The sequence below is a fragment of the Homo sapiens genome, chromosome 2, assembly GCF_000001405.40.
Source record: "Homo sapiens chromosome 2, GRCh38.p14 Primary Assembly".
Lineage (NCBI taxonomy): Eukaryota > Metazoa > Chordata > Mammalia > Primates > Hominidae > Homo > Homo sapiens.
The window spans coordinates 71518395-71541005 of NC_000002.12; the positions used below are offsets into that span (position 1 = coordinate 71518395).

The following is a 22611-nucleotide window of genomic DNA, read 5'->3' on the forward strand; positions in this document are numbered from 1 at the left end:
TAGAGGCGTGTGCTACCACGCCTGGCAGTTTTTTTTTTTTTTTGGTATTTTTAGTACAGATGGGGTTTCACCATCTTGGTCAGTCTGGTCTTGAACTCCTGACCTTGTGATCTGGCTACCTTGGCCTCCCAAAGTGTTGGGATTACAGGCATGAGCCACCGTGCCTGGCCTGCATGGTGTTTTAATGTAATTTGATGTAATTGTTACTAATTTTCTCATTTTGAAATTTTCAAGGATTTCTCAAAAGGAAAGAAAGAGCACAAGCTTATTTTCCCCTCTCCCCTCTATCCAAGTATATCATGCCTTCCTTCTTTAAATTTGTATTTTAAATATGAATTTAAAATAAGGGGCTTGGTTCTGCCTGTTGTCAGAAGTTACCTTAGAATTATTTATTCTGCCCAATAAATAATTGCTGGGACCAGGCGCAGTGGCTCATGCCTGTGATCCCAGTGCTTTGGGAGGCCAAGGTGGGCAGATCACTTGAAGTCAGTAGTTCAAGACCAGTCTGGCCAACATGGTAAAACCCCGCCTCTACTAAAAATACAAAAATTAGCTGGGCATGGTGGTATGCGCCTGTAATCCCAGCTACTCAGGAGGCCGAGGCAGGAGAATCGCTTGAACCTGGGTGGCAGAGGTTGCAGTGAGCCAAGATCGCACCATTGCACTCCAGCCTGGATGACAGAGCGACACTCCATCTCAAAAAAAAAAAAAAAAAAAAAAAAAAAAAATTACTGGGTTGGACCTGATGGCTAGATCAGTGGGTGAGATTTCTTTGTCTTTGCGCTGTCTTCTCAAATCATTGCCTGTGGGAAGAAGTCACAAGATAAAAAACTAAGTCTGTTTACCTGGAGAAGCATTTTTTAAAAGAATGAGCTTGAGCCCAAGTCATTCTGTAACAAATTAAATCTTAATTATGTTTTGAGTCTTGTTCTGAGAACCCAAGGGTTAAGTCAAAAAATTATTTTACTTGTATCTAATTATAAAAGTAATCTATGATTTAAAAAAAAGACGACTTTTTAAAACAGACTGTTGTAGGTTCACAGCAAAAATTAAGTGGAATGTACACAGTTCCCATATACTCCCTGCCCCCTGCCCCTGCTGCCCCCTGCAGCCTTCCCCACTATCATCATCCCAATCATCTGTGGATTTTTAATAGAAAATTGTAAAACACAGGAAGGAATAAAAAATGAAATAAAAATAATCCAAATCTACCATGCAGGGATAACATAGTCCTATTGTGTTGAATTTCCTTTCCTCTTTTTTTTTTGAGACGGATTTTTGCTCTTGTTGCCAAGGCTGGATTGCAATGGCATGATCTCGGCTCACTGCAACCTCCAACTCCTGGGTTCAAGTGATTCTCTTGCCTCAGCTTCCCAAGTAGCTGGAATTACAGGCATGCACCACCACACCCGGCTAGTTTTTTTTTTTTTTTTTTTTTTTGTATTTTTAATAGAGATGGAGTTTCACCATGTTGGTCAGGCTGGTCTCGAACTCCTGACTTCAAGTGATCCACCTGCCTTGGCCTCCCAAAGTGCTGGGATTACAGGCATGAGCCACCACGCCCAGCCTCCTTTCCTCTTTCTTTTCTGTACATAAGCATTCTTTATCAAACTGGGATCAAAATATATTTCATTTTCTTTTCATGTAGTATCAAATGTTGACTGCCTGTGTTTCCAAATGTTCTTCAAAAACATGGTTTTTAATGGAATCATATAATGCACCACACTTTATTTAACGCTTTGGCGGCAAGAGTTTGATTTGTGTCTCCTCTCATTGATTGCAGATGGACGTGGGCACCATTTACAGAGAGCCCCGTGAGTTCTCACCACTTTGGCCGTATCCTTGCATTTTGGTTCTGGAGGCTGATTGGGGACACTCATTTGGGGTCCTCACTGTCCCTCCTGGGGGTTTTAGAATCTAGAGGAAGGGTTTGATCTTGGGAGAGAAAGCAGGTCATTCATCCTCCATGTGAGACAGGCCCTCGGGAGGGTGTAACACTCACCTGTGTCTCCGTTGGCCCATTCAGGGAGGCTAGATCTGAAAGGCCCCATTACTGGACACTGGGCTCACGGCAGACAGGGACAGGTCATTTGGGTGACAAGCCAGGATTTCTCCTCACCCTGGTTTCCATTCTGATCTGGTCACTTCCTGAAGGGGAGGAAAATGCCTTGGGTTTGGCTCTGCCAGCCTCTTACAGGCGTTTCTGTTAATATTTCTGACTCTGACCACATGAACACTCAAAGTACCTTTTGATTCTAGAATCTGAGTCCTGAGCTCATGGCCCAGCGGATGAGTCCTTTACCTCCCCTGTGCAGTCCATCCTGGGTTCCCGGATGTGGCCACAGCCTGGGGTCTTCTGATTCTGGGATCACCAGAGGATGTTGTCTCTCTTAGGGCACGCCTATCTCAGGAAGTGGCTGCTGCTCTCAGACCCTGATGACTTCTCTGCTGGGGCCAGAGGCTACCTGAAAACAAGCCTTTGTGTGCTGGGGCCTGGGGACGAAGCGCCTGTGAGTACATTTCCCTGGGTCTTCCTTACGGTCCCCCACGCGGCACTTGGTTGCGGAGGCACCAAACCACAAACAAAAACTCTATTTTTTTTTCTGATTTAAACTAATATGTGGTAATTAATGAGAAATGTGGAACATGTAGAAAGGTGTTAATAAAAAATGAATGCTCTGGGTGCAAGGTATTAATAAAAAATGAATCACTCATAATCCTACCACTCCGAGAGAGCTATTATTGTCTCATTGCACATCCCTCTGGAAGGATATATGCACATATTTTCTTTTTGCAACAGTGAGATTATTCTATATATATTATATTGTGACTTGAATTTCATGGCCTAAGAATGTATCATGCTCATCTCCACATGTCAGTAAGTAAAGTTATAAGTTGGAGGTGGTAAGAATGAGAAAAATGTTGAGAGCAGGAGAGGTATCTGCATCTTTCTATGTTTGAGAAGAGGAGAAAAGGTTTGGAATCATCTTTGTGGGAGAGGAGTGAGGGGTTAGATTTAATGAAAGGATTTCTGTACAAACACCAGAGCACCCACTCTGGGTTGGACGCTTTGTTTGTAGTGGAGCCACTTGCCTCATGGTGCTCAGCAGCGCAGAAGCAGAAGAGAGGCAGGTGGGTGGTGGACGTGTTGGGTGAGGGCAAGCCAGGAGTGCTGAAGGTCAGGGGTGAGGTGAAGGTCAGGGGTGAGGTACCTGAATATGGCTGATGGCTTTGTGCAGGGAGGGAGAGGAGGACAGGGCCCCTGGGGTCTCCTGCCATGCCTCGTGTCTCCCCCATCCTCACCACACACTGGCTCCTTGGCCACCTGGACGTGCTGCTTGGATGAATGTGGGTTTCTACTTCTCCACTTAGCTGGGCCCCGGGTGCTGTCCGCCTCTTCCTTTACCTGGGTATAGTTTACTCCTTATCTAATTCTCCTCATCTCCTTACTCCTTATCTCTCCTGGCTGTTCCCAGACTTTCTTCCCTTTCCTAAGCTCCAACCTCAGCTTCCCTTGGAGAGGCAGAGCTGCACAGCGATGAGTGGTGAGAGCTCTGGGAGCTCCTGTGGTCCTCAACTTGCCCCCCATCTTCATCCACCTTCCCTCCCTTCCTCCGCCCCTCCCGCTGCATTATCCCACCACCTCCTTGGCCATGACTTCACATCCTCCACTGTCTTCTTTAGCCTCCTCTTTCTGGTCTCTTCTCACACTTGTCTCCTCTGCCTCCTTCTCCATGATCTGTACCAGGCTCAAGATTTCCCCATCCTAAAACACCCCTTCCTTGACCCATTTCTCCCCACCCCTCCTCTCCACTACTATTTTCTCTCTCTCCTACTGCTGGTCATCACCAACTTTTGAAAGGGTGCACTGCATCCCCCTTTTTCCACTCCATTGCCAGCTGCTCATTCCTTCTCCTCTTCAGTAGGAATCCCACCACCTCCCCTCCCTGAAGCCACTGGTGTAAGGGTCACTCATTACCATAGCTTAGGAGCTCTCCTCTGTTGTTAGACTGCACCACTGCTCCATAGCGTTCGATTCTGGAGCCCACGCCTTATTTGAAACTGTCTCCTCCCTTAGTATTCATGACTCTCCTTGCTCCTTTTCCAGTGGGTTCTTCAAATTCGATGTTGCAGTTCAGTCCCTGTTCCCTTGCTGTGTCCTGCCCGTCACTGTTGAGGAGTCCGTCTCTTTCAGACACCACCTGAGACTTGTAAATTGCTCTTCTCCAGCCTGGATCTTCTGAGCTCTGGACGCTCAGTTTCAGTTGCCTTGTCATCAGGCCACATTAACATGTCCCTTAGGCCCCTCTAACTTATTATAGTAAATCTAACTTATTATAGCAAAGCCTGTATCATTTGCTGCCCACTCCCCACACCTGTTCCCCATCCCGTATTAGGTGACATCTTAGGAAATTGCATGATTATCCACTTAGTCCCCCAAACCAGAGGCCAGAGTTTCATTCTTTACCCCTCAATCCCCATGCAAGCAGTTGGCCAGTCTTGTTGGTGGAAAACCTCAGTGTACGCCTCTTCTTTTTCCCATCCCAAGACAGGAGTTTGAGGTCCAGCTCCCACTCTCTCTCACTTGGGTCTCTTTGTGAATTACAATATAGGTTCAGCTGGTGTAACAAAGATGCCCCAAATAATAGGCATTAAGGAGGACAGAGGTTTATTTCTCTCTCATGAATGCCACAGTCCAGAATTGGCACAGTGCTTCGGCAATGATCAGAGACCCAGGCTCCTGGTCTTTTCTCCACTGTGATCATCATGCAGCCTCCGTCACATGGCCCAAGATGGTTGCTCCAGTTCCCATCACCATGTCTGTATTCCAGCCAGGGAAATGGGAGTAAAGGACAATGGAGGCCACATCTCTTCCTTCAAAGGCATGATCCAGAAGTTGTACACATTTATGCTTAGGTCCCATTGACAAGAACTTAGTCACATGGCCACATCTAACTACGAGGGAGCCTGGGAAATAAAGTCCATCCTAATGCTGTCCAGCTAAAAATTGAGGGTTTGTTAGGGGAGGCAGAAAAGACTGGATTTGGGGGAACAACTAGCAGTCTCTGCCATCCATCCTAAGTGTCCTCTGAGGTCTCCTAACTTCTTACGTTATACTTCACCTATCCCCACCTTATCACCAGTCATCTTTTTTTTTTTTTTTTTTTTTGAGAAAGAATCTTGCTCTGTCACCCAGGCTGGAGTGCCATGGTGCAATCTCGGCTCACTGCAACCTCCGCCTCCCGAGTTCAAGTGATTCTCCTGCCTCAGCCTCCTGAGTAGCTGGGATTACAAGCGTGCGCCACCATATCCAGCTAATTTTTGTATTTTTAGTAGAGACGGGGTTTCACCATGTTGGTCAGGCTGGTCTCAAACTCCTGACCTTGTGATCCACTCGCCTCGGCCTCCCAAAGTGCTGAAATTACAGGCGTGAGCCACTGCGCCTGGCCGCCAGTCATCACTTTTAAACCCAGGTAGAATCACGCGTGTCTCCTCTTACAAAACCTCCAGTGACTTCCCACTGCTTTTAGGATAGAGTCCAAGATCCTTAGCATGACATTCAAGGCCCTTGACATTTGCCCTCAGCCTAGTTTCCCAATCCCACTTGCTGTTATGTATCTTCATGGGCCCCGTCTGTGGCCACACCAGATGATGTGACTCTTTCCAGAATGCTCTTCCATCCCTCTCTAGCCTTTTCCCCTGCTGGAATGCCTTCCCTCTCTTTGCCTACCAAGAGCCAATTTGTTCTTCCAGACCCAGTTCAGATGCTACTTCCTCCCTGAAGCTTGCCTCGTCTTCCAGGAAAATGTATTGGTCTTTCCTTTGGGCCACCACCCAGCCCTTTGGTAGTCTAATCAGTTTATGTGTCTGTCTTCATCACTGAGATTCAGTTTCTTGATGATGGGGACAATATAGCAAATGTGATATCTTTTATCTCCCCTCTTGCCTAGTACGGCAGGTCTTGTACACAGTAGGTGCTCAGTCAGTGCTTATTGTCTAGGGGAATAGACATTTTTATGGATGCCTGAAAGATGATTGTTTTCTTCTGATATGAGCTGAGGAGAATAAACGCAGAACACATCCCTTTGGGCATGCTGTGATATGGGCATTCTGGGATTGAGGGTTTTGCAGCAAGGATCCTGAAGCAGGTTTCTACGTGTCAAGTGTGACTGAGTGAGAAATGGGGTGAGGCTAGTCCAGGCAACTGTCCAAGGAGTTGGCTGCTGGGCACAGCCTGACCTTGCTATTCTCCTGTCCCTTCGCTGCTCGCTAGCCCAAGAGCAGCCACCAGATCTTTTGTCTGTTCCTCCAGCTGCCGACTTCCCCATGTGCAAGGGCCTCTGCATGAGTTGCCTCCTCGTCTGGATGCCTCCACCTGTTGCTCATCATCCAGGTCTCAAGCTGGGAAGCATTTCTGACCCCACCTCAGTATAGTTACAAGCCCCCTTGCTCTGTGCTCTCCAAGCACGTGGGTTCTGCTTCCAGCCTGTGTTACACCTCAGCTTTCTTATCTGTAAAGTGGGGGCATTCTAGGTCTTACACCCAGAGCAACATCTGTGGGCAAGCAGCGTGGGCATCACTTGGACACTTTTTGAAATGCAGAATCTTGGGCCCCACCCCACACCTGCTGAACTAGAACCTGCATTTTAATTGGAATGCACAGCAGTGGTCTAGAAGACATTGATTCTCAGCCTCTGTTGCTAGTTGGAATCATCTGGGAAGCTTTACAAGCCACTGCTGCATGGGTACTCTCTCCCAGAAATTCTGTTTTAATTGGTCTAGGGTGTGACCTGGGTTTCCCAGGTGAGTCTTTTCTTTTCCTTTTTTGTTTTTGAGATGGTGGGGGCGGGGGGCGGTCTCACTTTGTTGCCCAGGCTGGAGTGCAGTGGTGCAATCTTGGCTCACTGCAACCTCTGCTTCCCAGGTTCAAGCAATTCTCCCATCTCAGCCTCTGAGTAGCTGGGACTACAGGTGCATGCCACCATGCCTGGCTAATTTTTGTATTATTTGGTAGAGACAGGGTTTCCCCATGTTAGCGAGCTGGTCTTGAACTCCTGACCTCAGGTGATCCGCCTGCCTCGGCCTCCCAGAGTGCTAGGATTACAGGTGCGAGCCACGGCGCCCAGGCTTCCCCAGGTGTTTCTAATGTGCCGCCAAGTTTGAGACCCATTCAAGGGAGGGGTGCTATGAGGATTAAATGAGAGAGTGCATACACATCAATGCATGTGGGATGTGATTTTTGTTATTACTGTTCCAACCACAAGACACAGTACATGTTATTGGATTCGTTTGCTGAAAGTGTTTTCCCTGCATGATAGTCAGCTCCATGGGAACAGGGTGCTTATTCATGTCATCCCCTTATTCATTGCCATATCCCCTGCCCTTCAGCACCATACAGACACCTAGTACTCACTCAGTAGCTAATGGCTGGGTGAATGAACACCTGCATGTTATTAAAGACAGAGTGGCCAGCTTAGACCTCAGTTACTACTGTACTATGTTTTAACCGGGAGGTGGGGGAGAGCGGGAAGGAGACTGAGGTTGGTGGAATGCTTGCTGTGTGCCACGTGCATTTACATCATTACTGGAGATGTTCCTCGCACAGTCCTGGAAGGTCAGTATCATGGTCTCTGCTGTACTCAAGAGGAAGCTGAGGCTCAGGTGAAGGACCTTGCCCGAGACCACGCGGTAGTAAGTGTCGGAGCGCAGTCTGCCTTACTGCAGAATGCAGCATTTATGTGGCGAAGCTGGAACTCTTAGAAAAGGAAAGTAAAACCCTGTGCTCAGGAGCGCATGAAGGAATCGTATTTGGTTTTCTTTGTAGCTGGAGAGAAAAGACCCCTCTGAAGACAAGGAGGACATTGAAAGCAACCTGCTCCGGCCCACAGGCGTAGCCCTGCGAGGAGCCCACTTCTGCCTGAAGGTCTTCCGGGCCGAGGACTTGCCGCAGAGTGCGTGGGGCGCGCCCTTGGGTGGGAGGTCTGCAGGAGGCTGGAGGCGCAGGGCTGGTGGGGGTGGGCGATGGCGGGCGGGGTCAGCTCCCTGGGGGAAGGAGAGGCGTCTAGGAAAACAATCAGAATTTAACGAAAAGTAATCAGTGCTGGTGGAGTTACAAAGATTCAAGAACTCTTGAGAGTAATAGCTGCCTCTCAGCTCCATTCCAATGTCCTCTGGGCCTGGTCTGGCAATATTTGGCCACTCTGTGGACCCATTTTCTTAGTTCTCATTGAGAAGTCAGCACCATCTGGACTCTATTCTGGCCTTAGGGCTGGCTCTCACTGATTTTCCCTCCCTCTGTGAGGAAGCCCGTCCTGCTAGTGGCAGAGCTGGGCTGGGGAGCAGTTGCTCTAATGTTGGAAGGGTTTGCATGAAGGACTCCTGGGCCCCACTGTCTTCACAGATGAAGGACACAGATCCACAAGGTGACCCACCATCCTAGCTTGCCTGAGACTGTCCTGGTTTTAGCACTGAAAGTGCCTGTTCCAGGAAACCCTGCAGTCTCCAGCAAACTGGGACAGTGGGCACCCGACTTGCAACCATCTCTTCCTCCCAGGAAGGCCAATGTGGCCACTGCCTGGTTTCTCACAGTGGTTGGCCCGATACTAGACCCATCTGTGTGTTTAGTAAATGCTGGGGAGTTATACCGAATATTCTAGAGCTCTGGTTATCAACCTGGGCTGATAGTAGAATTCCCTGGGAAGATTCAAAACGGTCCAAATGCCGGGGCCCCACCTCCAGCGTTTTAGATTGACTCGAGTTAGGGCAGGGCTCAGCATTGGTAGGGTTTAAAGGCTCCCCAGGTTGTTCTGTGGTGAGGCCCCGCTGTGAGCCACTATTTTAAAGCATGCATTAACACAACCAAGCCACTGTCCACAGCAGAGTCAGTGAGAAGGTTTGCAACTTGGGTCCCTGGTTACAACTTTTCCATAAAGGTAACTATTTGAGAGTTTCTGCTTCGGCTGCTGACGTCAAGAAATGAAATGTACAAGCTTACTTAGATCAAATCCTGAAGAAAGCCTGTAAATAAGTAATGGGTATTAATTCAGTACTAAAACACATGCTTAAAAATATTCTGCACTTATTGATTGCAACTAGAAGTGAGGCTGGTGAACTTCAAGAGGGGCATGGGGAAATAGAAATGTTTGCTTTTCTTAAGGTGAAAGAGCTTTGTGTTGAATTCCCTGCAACGTTGTTTGAAAAAAACAAAATAGATGGGCAAACAGATCATAAATGTTTGCTAATTGTTGTTGCCTTTTGTATTCATGTAGTTATTAGCTAGCGTATAATCTTTATCCCCCTCCACTTACTTACCCACTCATATGTCTGTAAACATAACATGCTTTATACACATATGTATGTGTATACACATAAACATATCTATCTATCTGTATCTACATATATAAATAATCTGGCTGATTCAAAAAATAATGGTTTGGGGCAGCATAGATTAAAAACTCTTAAAAAAAAAACAACAGAATTGACTTCTTGGTTAACCTCAGGTAAATCGCTGCGCTAATAGATTTAAAGGAAAATGTCAACCAGGCACCAATAATGGGATATTGTTATAACAACTGCCAGTCCTTTTCTGAGTACTTACTGCCCTTAGTGATGTAGATTTCTAATTAGTCAGGCAGGTAGATTTGATCTGAAAGGCTTTGAATGCAGGGTGGGGACAGTGAACTGAGCTGTTTGGGACTGGTGACAAAGTGGCCCGGAGCTCTCAGGAGTTGCTGCTCTGAGACAGTCCTCCTTCTGGGGAGCCCCTGGGCTGAGTCCCTGTGTGAAGGGGCCAAAGCTTCTTGCTCAGGTAGTCCCAGGACTGCCTGGAGACAGATGGGGGACAGTCAGGGTTTTAGAGGAGAGACAGCAGGCAGGCAGTGACTGGTGTGTCCCTCTTCCCAGTGGACGATGCCGTGATGGACAACGTGAAACAGATCTTTGGCTTCGAGAGTAACAAGAAGAACTTGGTGGACCCCTTTGTGGAGGTCAGCTTTGCGGGGAAAATGGTAAGGAGCAAGGGAGCAGGAGGGTTCTCTCGGGAGGGGACTTTCTGGTGCCCTGTGGACTGTGCCGGGTGAGAGCAAGACAGAGTGAGATGCCCCCACCAGAGGTGTGTGCACAAGGAGTGGCTGATCCTGGTGCGTGGTGAGACACCCACATAGGCCCAGCTCTCAGGGACTGCCCCGCACACGAATGTGGACAGGTCTGCCTGGGGGTGTCCCAGACAGACACATAGATGTGGATGGCCCAGGAGAGGACGTTGGATGGTGGATAGTAGAGGAACATTTGGGGGAAAATGGAGCAATAGCATGGAAACCAGACATGAAGGCATAAAGATAGAGAAACTATATTTTAAAGATGTGGGAGAAAAACATAATGGTTATTTAAAAAATGTTGTGGGGGTAGTTGGGCAGAGAAAGGCCCCTCTGGTGGGCACCCTAGCCTCTTCCTTGCAGCCCACCTTCCTGCCCTGAGGCGGGACTGTGGCTCCAGTCCCTGCTGACTTCTGTCCCAGCCCTTCTCTCCACACAGGCTGCCCACCCCCCAGTGTCTGTGCACCCCCCACAGGCTTTCCTGGCAGCCCCAGCCCTCCCAGGCTTCAGCCATCACCTCTCTGCAGAGAACTCCGTAGCTCTCCGAACCCTCCCTTCAACCCCAGGCCTCTCTGTGCCTCTAAACAGTTCCGCCTGCTGCCCCTCTGAGCCCTGGAGGGAGTCATTTTCTCTGCACAAACTGCCCCATATCCAAAAGCCTCTGTCTTAACCAGGTACAACCATCAAAGGCAGAAAATGTGGACCTGCCTTGATTCTTCCTTCTTTTTTCTCTCTCCACATCCCACATGCTATCTCTAGCTTTTGACTTTAAACTTGTCCCCAGGGCCCATCCCTACCTCGTGCCCCCACAGCCACTGCTAGCTCTTTCCAGGAGCATTCCCTTGTCTCTCAACTCATGGCATTGAATTTTTGAACAGCCCAGGCCATTTGTCCAAGTACTGGATTTGTTCGATTGTTTCCTTCTGTTGTTTAACTTGTTTCTCTGACTCCTCTCTTTCCTGTAAACTGGAAGTTAGGTCTAGAGACTCCATTAGATTCAGATGAAGTATTTCGGCAAGAACTCAGAGTAGTTGATGTTCTGCATGTCATATGGCATCACAACAGAGAGCCATAATGTCAGGTTGTCCCATCATTAGGGATGATCGCCTGATCACACAGTTAAAATGGTGCCTCCAGACAGCTCCCTTATAAATCTTCCCACTTTGTAATTAGCAAGTAAACTGTGGGTGATATCTTGGCACTGTACGGATGTCCTACTTCTCAGCTACCTCTTATCTAATGGTCTAAGCATCCATTGACCTTCCTGTCTGAAGAAGTCATTTAGTTGGGACTGCAAAGTGGTGATTTTCTCATTATCATTCTTTTTCTCTTGATTAGCCAACATTTTTTTCTGTAAAGAAGAGCTTTCTCCCTCCGCTTCGTTGAGTATTAGTATGGACCTCAATACTTTTTATTTCTAATGTTAAATCAGTCATTATTGTGTTGATGTATGAATTATACTGAAGGTGGCCATCAGGAGCCCCTTTGAGCTGGGCTCTCTCTCCTCAGAGACTAGCACAGGGTCCCAGTGAAAATGTACACGGGGATGTAATGCAGATTTTAAACTCGTTCATGTGGAGGTGTAAATGCTTACTGCAGATCCTCACCTGAGTGCAGGTTTTGGTGTAGACTCAGGGTCCAGGTCTTACGCCCTGCGCCTGGCATCAGGAGGAATGGGGACAGCTGCTTGAAGGTAGGAAGGAAACAGGAAGCTGCGGCTGTACGTTTTTGTGGGACACTAGCTCCAAGGACTAGGATTAATTCTTCCACTTGACACTTGGGGGAATTCACGTCCTGAGATTGTTCTTATTTCGCATTCCCAACATGGAAGGTATTTCGATGGTGGCTAGAACCAAGACCGACATGCCTTCACATTCATTGGAACTAAGCCTCAGAGCTCCGGGGCTCCGGGCTGCTCCTGGGTCCCTGCCAGCATCTTTGATCTCCCTGGGTCTTCTGTTCTGAGATGCCCTTGGCTGGCCCTGGGGATTTCTTTAGGAAGGTACCAGTGTCTAGGGGGAGGTGAAAGGACAAAGGCAGCCAAGGCAAGGCACTGTATACAGTAGATTGGCATCTGGGCTCATGCAAGAAGCTGCGCCTCCCATTTTTCCTCTAGAAGGAGGTGGAGGGAGTTGAAGAATGACCTTATGGTGAAGGAGGCAGCTGGAATGCTCCGTCTTGAAAGTTTCAACCTGGCCAGCCTCCTCGGTGGACCCCAGGCCTTTGCGTCCTCTCTGCCCTAAGCCACCTCCTTGTGGCGTCCCCGCTTCTGCTGCTCTTATGGCGTGTCTCATTCTGCCTGTCCCTCTCTTTTAGCCTGCTTGCATGTCCCTTTTCTCTCTTTACACCCTAAGCTGAAGAGCCCTGAGGTTACATTCTGTGTACCCACCCACCCCAGCTGGCCTTCTTTGCATTTCCCCTTATGGACACCTGGTGGCAGTATTATCCAAGATGTGAACCATACTTGATTTGGCCAAGTTCCTAAGAAGATAGGAGTGTGGGAGAGTGTGTGCGACTGTGCACTTCATGGTATGGAAGAAAGAAAAGGTCCTGCCCTACTTGTAGGGCAGGACAGGAAGATTTAAAACAACTTTTTTTTTTCTGAATTCAAGAATAAAACCCATTAATTGCAAAAAATTGAAAAAAATCAGAGACAAGGAAAACAACAAAAACTCCCACTGCACCATATTCTGTACCCTGCACCACCCTGGAGAGAATTACTGATAACATTGGTTTGTATTACCTACCCTGTTACCTCCCCTCTTCCCACTTGCTGGGAAAAAATCATGAAAATATTGATTTTCCTTATTCAAGGATTCTGTATTTGCCAATTTGCCTACTCACTAAAATGTATTTGCAAGCCCAAAATCAACACTCATGGCACTTTAGTGATGATTTGTGGACACTTTCAGGGCTTTGAAAAATTTGAGTCTCCCAGCGTGTATGTTGGTTGCTGAGGTTGAACAAGGTGACTCTCTGCCTCCCCGCTCCAACTCTCATGGAGTAAACATGACATGTCCATGATCAAAGGACATGTATTTACTCCACGAGAGTTGAAACAGGGAGGCAGAGAGTCTCAAAACATGGTACTGCACAGGACACGTATCAAAGGACACAGACAAAATGTGTGTCCTTTGATATGTGTCCTGTGTAGTCTCATGTTTTTCACATTTTTGTGCCTTTTCTTGGCGACTTCGCTGTTTAAAATGGCCCCAAATGTCGTGCTGAAGTGCTGTCTGGCGTTCCTCAGCTCAGAAAGGCTGTGATGTGTTTTATGGAGGAAGTGCGTGTGATAGGTAAGCTTCTGGCAGGCTTGAGTCACAGTGCCGTTGGCTGTGAGTTCAATGCTGATGACTCAGCAATGTATATTAAAAAGTAAGGTGTCCTTCAACAGAAGCACACATAAACCAAGGTTACGTATTGATCAGTTGACAAAAACATTGTGACAGAGGCTGCCAGGAATTTAACCCTGCTTCTTCTCTGAGGTAATGAGTCAGCATTCACTAATTCAGGGTTCATGGTGACCTTATAGATCATAACTACCATGAATAATGAGAATCAACTATATACATGCAGTTTGGTAAACTGCTTGTGTTGTCTCATCTTTTCTTAGGTTATTAAAGAGTCATTGAAATGATTTTTTTTGATGGCTGCATAATATTCTGTCAGATGAGTATACCATAACATTTGACCTATTTTTTGGACATATATAATTCAAATTTTCCTCTTTTATAAACAACATTGTGACAAACATCAGCATACAGGAATCTTTGTCCACACTCTGATTGCTTTTCTGTAGGGAAGTTTCTAGAATTGGGGCTGTTAAGCCAGGGGGCTTATTTTTAAGTATTTGATACAGATGGACAAATAGCCTTCCAGAGAGAGTGTACTAATAATACTCCATTGGGTAGTGAAGGAAGGTAAAGAAAAAAGGTAAAGCAAGAAAAAAAGAGAAGCAGAGGAAGAGGAAGAAGCAGCATGGTGTGGCCCTGGCTGAGTGCCTGTGGGTGGAACAGGATGGGGGAAGGCTGGCAGGGATCTCTGGGGCCACAGGCAGTGCTGGCTGGGGTGTGGCAGATGGACCAGCTGCTGTTCAAGCCCCCAGACCCACATCCTGGTGAAGGTAGCCAGGTTGAAGTGTTTGCGATGGAGGAGGGCCAGATGCCTGGGGCAGGGGCTGAAGTAGCCCGTGTGCATCCTATGTGTGTGTTGGGGCAGCCTGTGCCTTCTTATTCCAGGGACCTGGGGCACAGAGTTGGCAGAGCTGCTCAGCTGGGTCTTGTTAAAGTATCTTATTTTAAAATTTTGTTTATCTAATTTTTGAATTAGGTAGTACATTTATTCTATCTATCTATCTATCTATCTATCTATCTATCTATCTATCTATCTATCATGAAAAATCTCCCTCTTGCTCTGTACCCCATCCAACAATCAATCCATTTCTTCCTTTTCAAAGAAAACCACTGCAATTAGTTTCTTTTATATTATTCTGGTTTTGTGATGCACGTGTAAGCAAATATGACTACAGATTCTTTCTTCATTTTTTTTTGAGATGGAGTCTCACTCAGTAGCCCAGGCTGGAGTGCAGTGGTGCAATCTCCGCTCATTGCAGCCTCTGCCTCCTGGATTCAGGCAATTCTGATGCCTTGGTCTCCTGAGTAGCTGGTACTATAGGCATGTGACACCACTTCCAGCTAACTTTTGTATTTTTAGTAGAGACAGGGCTTTGCCACATTATCCAGGCTTGTCTTGAACTCCTGACCTCAAGTGACCCACCTGCCTTGGGCTCCCAAAGTGCTGGGATTAAGGCATGAGCCACCGTGCCCAGCCGACTATAGATTTTTGTCTTTTACCTTTTAGCACAAATGGCTGCACATCACACCACTCTGCGCCTTGCTTTTTTCACTTAATCATATAACTTGGAGATGGTTTCACGTCACTACCTAGAGGCATCCTCATTCTGTTTGACAGCTGCCTAGTACTCCATTGTACGGACGGACCATACTTCATTTAACCTGCTTTCCATTGGTGGACACATGGGTTGTTCCAAATCCTTGCTAGTTCAAGCCATGCTGCAGTGAATAGCCTCACACATATGTCATTCCTCACATGTGCAAGTATTTCTGTAGGATGGGTGTCTAGAGGTAGGATTCATAGGGCAGTGGGAACATGCATTTGAAACTACAATACATAGTGGCCAATTGTCCTCTGAAGGGGTCAAACTATTTTGTTTTCCCACCAGCAAAACATGAGCATGCAGTTTTCCCATAGCCTTGCCAACAGTGGTCTATCAGACTTTAGAGATTTTTATGAATCTGATGGGTGAGGAATGGTATTTTGTTGGTTTTCTTTGTGTTTCTTTCTGAGTGGGATGAAGCATCTTTTTATATGTCTCAAGGCCTTGCGTCTTCATTCTGTGAACTGTCTCTTCCACTCTTTGCTCTTTCTTCCACTGGATTGGATCGTTGGTCTCTCTTCTTTCCTTACTCCTCTCTTTGCTAACTAACACAAGGGCCAAATCCTGGCACTCAGCCCCACACCCAGCCCTGTGTGGCCTTTGTCTGGGGCTCTTTTTACAGGGAGGAGGGGGAAGGTGGGGGCAGGGGCCAGCACTGGGTGGACCAGGAATGGAGACATCATCCTCACCCCTGGGGACCTGAAGTCTCTGATTTAAGTCAGATGCTCATTAAATGAGATAATGCACATGAAATGCCTAGCACAATGCAGGGCTTATCATAGTAAATGCTCTGAAAAGGCTGCTCATTATTTTCATGTGTAGAACATGGAAATCTACCAGGATCTGTGTATCTGAAACTGAGTCTTTACCTGCTGCCCCCGTGTGTGGGTATAGGATCCCTGGGGCTGGCTAAGGGGCCTGGTGTTCCTTATGGACTCCAAGGCCAGGGCTGGCCTGTGAGCTGCTGGTTTGGATCTGGTTTCCACTCCTGTGAGGTTTCTTGTTTGGGAAAAACCTGGTCTTTAGGACAGGGCTGGTTGGAGGCAGACTATGGCTTATAGGGTTTGTATCTTCACTGAATTTTCTTTCACTCTCTGACCTCTGTGCATGGCTCCCCTCTCCCATCTCTGATCTCCTAGGGGTCACAGTCTTCCTACATGGTGGATGATCTGGGGTAATGGGCAAAAGAGCCTTCTGGGCCATAAGGGCCTCTGGGAAAGCTGGTCTGGACTGGACTCAGGGCCCCCACATTTAGGGTCATGGCCATAATGGGAGGTATGGAGAGGGATTTTCAGCCAGAGGTGTGAGTTAAGGGTAGAAGGGCTGTGGCATTCAGACAGCCCACCCCACCCTTACCCACTCCCCAGCTCTGGGTCTGACCTTCCATTGAGCTTTGTCTCTGCAAAGATTCCCTGTGTATGAACCCCCTGCACTAGGCCCCAACCCCAGGGTCTTACACCCAGCCCTAAGGGCAGCCAGCATGGCAGAGAATGGTCACTGGCTGGCATGTGGCCCCGGGGGAGCCCAGAGTCCCCATGGAGCTTGATCAACTTGTCCCCTCCCTGTGTCTTCTAGCTGTGCAGCAAGATCTTGGAGAAGACGGCCAACCCTCAGTGGAACCAGAACATCACACTGCCTGCCATGGTGAGCCTCCTGCCCCCAGCAAACCCAAGGAGGCCCCTGGGGCTCTGGGCTTCGGGAGGTCCAGGGCTCCTGCCTCCCCAGCATCCTGCCAGTATCCCAGACTTCAGCTCGGGGTAGGGAGGGGCTGTTCTATCTTCAAAAGGACTCTTCTCCCAACACGCCTCTATTCCTTCCTCAGTTTCCCTCCATGTGCGAAAAAATGAGGATTCGTATCATAGACTGGTGAGTTCTGAGTCTTGGAGTCTTTAGGGCGGGCTGTCCTGAGGGGGCGCTGGGTCCCTCAGTTTCATTCGGCTCAGTGACTGGTAGTAAGAGTGTGAGGGAGAAGTTTCAGGTGAGGTAATGTCCCCTTGGGGTAGCCAGGGATGGAGAGGGTGTGGGCAGTTCCTCGGAAGCTTACTCACACCTGCTTGTTGGGAGGTAGGCAGATAAGGAGGAATCATCTCTGAGGGCAGAAGGAGCTGGGAAGGCTTCCTGGAGGAGGTGGGGCAGGTGATGGCCCGGCAGGAGGGGTGGGGTTTTGCTAAGCTCACCATGAGGACATTCCAGTGAGGAGAGGCTCACAAACTAAGGGAAGGGTCTGAAAAGAGCAGAGCTTCAGGGAGGATGGGCTGCGGTGCTGCCCTGGGTTGGTGGGATGAAAAAGTAGGGTCCCCAGGCTGGAGGAGCCGACCAGATTGCCTGAGCAGGGGACACCACGGCAGCTGTGCAGCAGGTGAGGACAGCAGCTCACGGGCGTCTTAGAAAGACCACAGCATCTAATACTTGTTGAGCACCTACTATACACCAAACCTTGTTCCCAGCAAGCACTTGACACGAGTCATCTCATCTGACCATCAACTCACCGACATCAGTTCACAGATGAGAAGGCAGGTTGGGAAAGACTGAGTGACCTGCCCGAGCTGACAGCTAGCTGGAAAGTAGCTGAGGCCAGGCTTGAACCCAAGCCTGCTGTTTCCAAAGCCTGCGTTCCTAACCACTAGTCCATGCCACCTCCTGCTAGTTGAGGGGAGCTGTCTCTTACACTTGAGGGGAATATTCGGGGTCCACACGTGTGATCTCAGGGCATTGGGCTTCCCAAAAAGAGAGAGTTGTCCTTTCTTTGCCCCCAAGAAGTCTTGGCTTTGTGGTTCCCCAGCGTGTTCTCCTCTGGTCTCATGCCCATGACACCCCCAACCAGGAGGATAATGAGAGACTAGGGAAAAACCCCCAGGCCACAGAGCCATTAAGCTGTGTGCCAGTTCCCCAGGCCTAAAGAAAACAGCTTGTGAGAATTAGAGGAGAGGAAAGAGAGCCGCCAGGAGGGCCTGTGAGGGAGAGGCCGCAAGGGCAGCGACCACGGGTATGTACTGTGGGGAAGCGGTTTGGAGGAAAGATGTGCTTTACATCCCAGAATGATCTCTTCATCTCCGCTCTCCATGTGTGCCGCTCTGACTGCGGGCGATGAGCTGTGCGTGTCTCTGCGTGTTTGCGCATGTGGATGTGAGTGGGTGCGGTTGTCTCCTGTGTTGTGGATGTGTCTGGCCCGAGTCCGGGTGAGCTGTGTCAAAGGCATCGGCGTACTGTACAATCCAAACACATTACAGAATCTGGTGGTTGCATCTCTGGTTTGGGTTGAAGTGGCATTTTTATTGTGAGTCTATTTTCAGACTTGCTGTATTTTCCAAAAGCAACCCCAAGCCCCAAAACCCAGCTCTTGGCCAGAAAGCATTCTGCTGCTTCAAGTTCCTATCCAGAAGAGTGCTTTCTTCCCAGAAAATGCAGATAAGCTCTTGTTATTACCTGAATCCTGGAAATAGGATATAGTCCATATGGCCTTTTCTCTGTAACTTAATCTTCCATTTAATTCTTCAGAAATTCCTTTTTCATTAAAAAACCAAACCAAACAACAACAACAAAAAAACCCCAAACCACCCCCTACCTCCATAAAACAGAACCTCTCTCCTCCCACTCTCCTTCCCTCCTCTCCCAATTCAGAGAAGACTGGAGGTCAGAAATCCAATTCCTTTTCAAGTGCTGACCTTTTCTAGGGTTTGGTCATGAAGACTGGGTACAAATGCCATTAACTGTCACTCATCTGGTGCTGAGAATATCACTGTAAAATATTGCAGGAAATTTTTACTTTCTAGTTTTGTTTTTTTTTTTTTTTTTTTTTTTGCGGGGGGCGTGGTGGGAGGATGGAGTTTCGCTCTTGTCACCCAGGCTGGAGTCCAATGGCGTGATCTTGGCTCATGCAACCTCTGCCTCCCAGGTTCAAGCGATTCTCCTGCCTCAGCCTCCCGAGTAGCAGGGATTACAGGCACACACCACCACCCCTGGCTAATTTTTGTATTTTTAGTAGAAACGGGGCTTCATCATGTTGGCCAGGCTGGTCTTGAACTCCTGATCTCAGGTGATCCATCTGCCTTGGCCTCCCAAAGTGCTGGGATTATGGGCGTGAGCCACCGCACCCTGCTTTTCAGTTCTTATTAATATCATTTACTTGGAAAAATGATACAGATCTGTCTGTGCTGACAATTCATTCTTCCTAATGTAGTGCCGGCGATGGAAAACTTTAAAAATCAAAGCTTAATCACCTCCCTGGGAAATACAAAGAGGAAGAAAGGAGCACAGAAATTGTGCAGAGATTAGGGTACCTTGTAGGGTTAGGATTTCAAAGAAAAATTGAAGCACCATGCCAGGGTATGCCTTTCACAATGGGGCTGGGATGTGTCATCTGAAGCTGCCCATGGCTAAGGCACTCACAACAGGGAGAGGGGGTCTACGGGGCACCAAGAAGAAGGGGAAATTACCCAGGAGGAACTTCCTGAAGGAGATGGGTCCTGCCCAGCCCAGTGTTTCTCAGTGTCTGCATCATTGGCATTTGGGGCTGGAATATTCTTTGCTGTGGGGTTCTCGACCTAGTGGTTTTGACCGCAGGTCTAGCCTACCCGGGAAGCAGCAGGTGGCTGCAATCAAAGCTCTGGTCTCCACGTCAGCATATCTGGCCTCAAATCCCAGCTTTGCCATCTTGGCAAATTATTTAACCTTCTCAACCTTGGCTTTCTCATCTGAACTTGGGGCTAATTGTAGTACCTACCTGGTAGTGCCGATGTGAGAATGAGTGAGTTAAGTCACCTGATGGTTTTAGCACAGTGCTTGGCTCTTAGTACGTGCTCAATAAATGTTAGCTGTTACTGTTTATTATTATCAAAGGAGGCAGGAGTGGGGTTCAGAGGGAGGGTCTGCATAGGATGTGGTTGGCTAATAGGTGAATCAAGCAGTTAACCTCCTTGAGCTCCTGGCCACAGTCCCCTACCCTGGTTGGGGAGCCAAGAAGTGTCCCCCTGGAAGCAGGCCCTATGCCATGCAGGAGCAATGTTCCAGGAGTCAGGACGCCAGGGCTTCCGGCCTGGGCTTGCCCTTCCTCTCCTGATGACCTTGGGCAAGTACCTACATGGCTTTAAGCCTCAGTTTCCTCATGGGTGCAACAGAGATAATAATAAAAGTGCTTGTTTCTCAAGGCTGTGTGAGCCTCCTGTGTGATAAAGGCTAAAAGTGCCCCATTACATACAAAGTCAGATACAAAAAGGAATCGTGTATTACCATTGGCTACTTCAAGACTGTGGCCTTGGAGATAGTTTCTTCCTGGTCACCTAGTTTTCTCCTTGATCTGGACATTTCTTTAGCTCCTGGAGCCTCTCAGTTCTTCCTGGGTCCGGGAACCTGGCTCCCTGAACAGGCCAGTCCCTGGCCCTGCCTCCTTGCCTCTGGCCTCCTCCCTGTCAGCCTGCAGATGCGTCTGTAGAGATCCAGGCTGGCAGCCTGGGTTTGGTTGCCTGATGGGATGCTGGTGGTTGGCGAGATGAACTAGTTCCCTCTCAGAGAGTCTTGGGCAAACCTCCTGTGCAGTGTCTTCATCTCTGGGATTACCAGGCCTCAGTAACATACCAAAGTGAAGACCAGAAGCGCTCTCTGCCTGCCCCCCGCCCCCCTGTGATGTGTAACCGAGGCCGCATACTTCCTGGGTGGGCTGTGGCCTGCAGTTCCTTTCCTGTGTTCAGGCCCTCTCTGCTCCCTTGCTCTAGGGACCGCCTGACTCACAATGACATCGTGGCTACCACCTACCTGAGTATGTCGAAAATCTCTGCCCCTGGAGGAGAAATAGAAGGTATGTTCCCTCTTCGTTCTGCCCTTTGACCCCCTGTGCTCTCCCCCGTACCCCCTCTATCCAGCTTACACTTCTAGTTTTGAGAGTTTGCAGAAAAGGGGAGATTATAAGGCCTCTGTTGCCCATTTTCCACTGAGAAGAGCTCTGGCAATGAAAGAGATGTCTTACAGACACTTAGGGTTCTCCACACTTGGATTGTGGGATATGCCACTGAAGGGCACAAAGAGGATAATTCACTCCTGCAGAGAATATTGGCTGGCTGTGGCCATGCCATCCATCAGGTCCTGCCTTGGCCGACTGTGCTCTAGCAGTTTCAAAAGCTATTGAAATAGCTCTTACTGTTCTATTAAAAAAGCAACTCATCATCATTTTGTAAAATTTTAAGTAAAGAAATAATCTGAAAGAATATAAAATTTACCTGAAATTACCCATAAGCCCACCCCTCCGGACAAGAACTATTAGCACTCCGAGACCTTTCTGTATGTATGTATATATGTATGTATATGTCTGTACATGCATGGAAGATGTGTGTATTTAATACATGGGTATGTGTATATATACATTAGAACAAATTGTTTTGAAAATTGCTTTTTGATACTTGACAATACAACATAGATATCTTTTCCTGTTATTAAAAGTTCTTCTATAATACAATTTTAAGTGAATACACATATTCCATTATGTGAATGTATCATGATCCACGTTAACTAGTTAATGATGAACATGTAGGTGTTTTCAAATTTTTCCACATTATAAGCAACTAAATTGGCAAGGAATATTTCTGTAGCTGAATCTTTATATAATTCATGAGTTTCCTTTTGGATAAATACCTAAAATTGGAATTGCTGTGTGAAAAGATTTCAACTTTTTTTTTCTTTTTTTTTTTTTTTGAGATGGAGTCTTGCCCTGTTGCCAGGCTGCAGTGTAGTGGCCCAAACTCAGCTCACTGCAATCTCCGCCTCCCCAGTTCAAGCAATTCTCCTGCCTCAGCCTCCCGAGCAGCTGGGACTACAGGCGCGCGCCACCACGCCCGGCTAATTTTTGTATTTTTAGTAGAGACAGGGTTTTACCATGTTGGCCAGGCTGGTCTCGAACTCCTGGCCTCATGATCCGCCCACCTCGGCCTCCCAAAGTGCTGGGATTACAGGCATGAGTCACTGCACCCAGCCTAGGATTTCAACATTTTTAAGACTTTTGATATTTATCAAAATTGCCCTTCAAAAAGGCTGGACTACTTTATGCTCTCATCATGCCCCTAGGCTTATTTTGCTATACCCTCCCCAACACAGGGTAAAATAATAATATTAAAAAAGAACTTTGTTAATTTTATAGGTCAAAATAGTATTTCATTGTTGCCTTAATTTTCATTTTATTGATAGCTGGTGAAGTTGACCGATTTCAATTTGAATATATTTAAATAATTATTTTATATTTATATATAACATGTTTATATAATTTATATTCATTCTATTATAAATGTCTTATTTATGTTCTCAGTCCATATGAGGAAATGTTTATCTTTTTCTCATACCTTTGTAGGAGTTCTGTATATATATGGATATTAACTTTTCCCCTGTCATTTATGTAGTAAATAATTCTTGTTGGCTTTATTTTACCAATTAATAGTTTTTGACCTATAGAAATTTAAAATTTTTATGTAGCCAAATCTGTTAGTCTTTTCCTTAGGGAATAAGGCAGGGATCTAGCATTACTTTTTTCAAAATTGTTCTTTGGTGATACAAACACTGTATTTTGAGTAATCTTTT

General features: G+C 47.4%; 1 protein-coding gene across 14 annotated transcripts in view, besides 1 other annotated feature; it reads left to right on the forward strand.

Moving 5' to 3' along the window:
- The window catches only part of DYSF (dysferlin), a 233203-nt gene that overhangs the window by 64834 nt on the left and 145758 nt on the right, over positions 1-22611 (forward strand). For all 14 annotated transcript variants that reach the window (NM_001130979.2, NM_001130981.2, NM_001130980.2 and 11 more), the window contains 7 exons: positions 1784-1814; positions 2395-2510; positions 7826-7952; positions 9904-10007; positions 16627-16695; positions 16874-16917; positions 20763-20845. In NM_001130979.2, the coding sequence (NP_001124451.1) occupies positions 1784-1814; positions 2395-2510; positions 7826-7952; positions 9904-10007; positions 16627-16695; positions 16874-16917; positions 20763-20845 (574 nt within the window). The remainder of the gene's footprint in view (positions 1-1783; positions 1815-2394; positions 2511-7825; positions 7953-9903; positions 10008-16626; positions 16696-16873; positions 16918-20762; positions 20846-22611) is intronic.
- Positions 9360-9878: an enhancer, noted in NCBI's record as "NANOG hESC enhancer chr2:71754884-71755402 (GRCh37/hg19 assembly coordinates)". NCBI's record gives its function as "activates a minimal SCP1, AML or CMV promoter by ChIP-STARR-seq in naive H9 embryonic stem cells {active_cell/tissue: H9 hESC(naive)}" and the evidence as "EXISTENCE:reporter gene assay evidence [ECO:0000049][PMID:30033119]".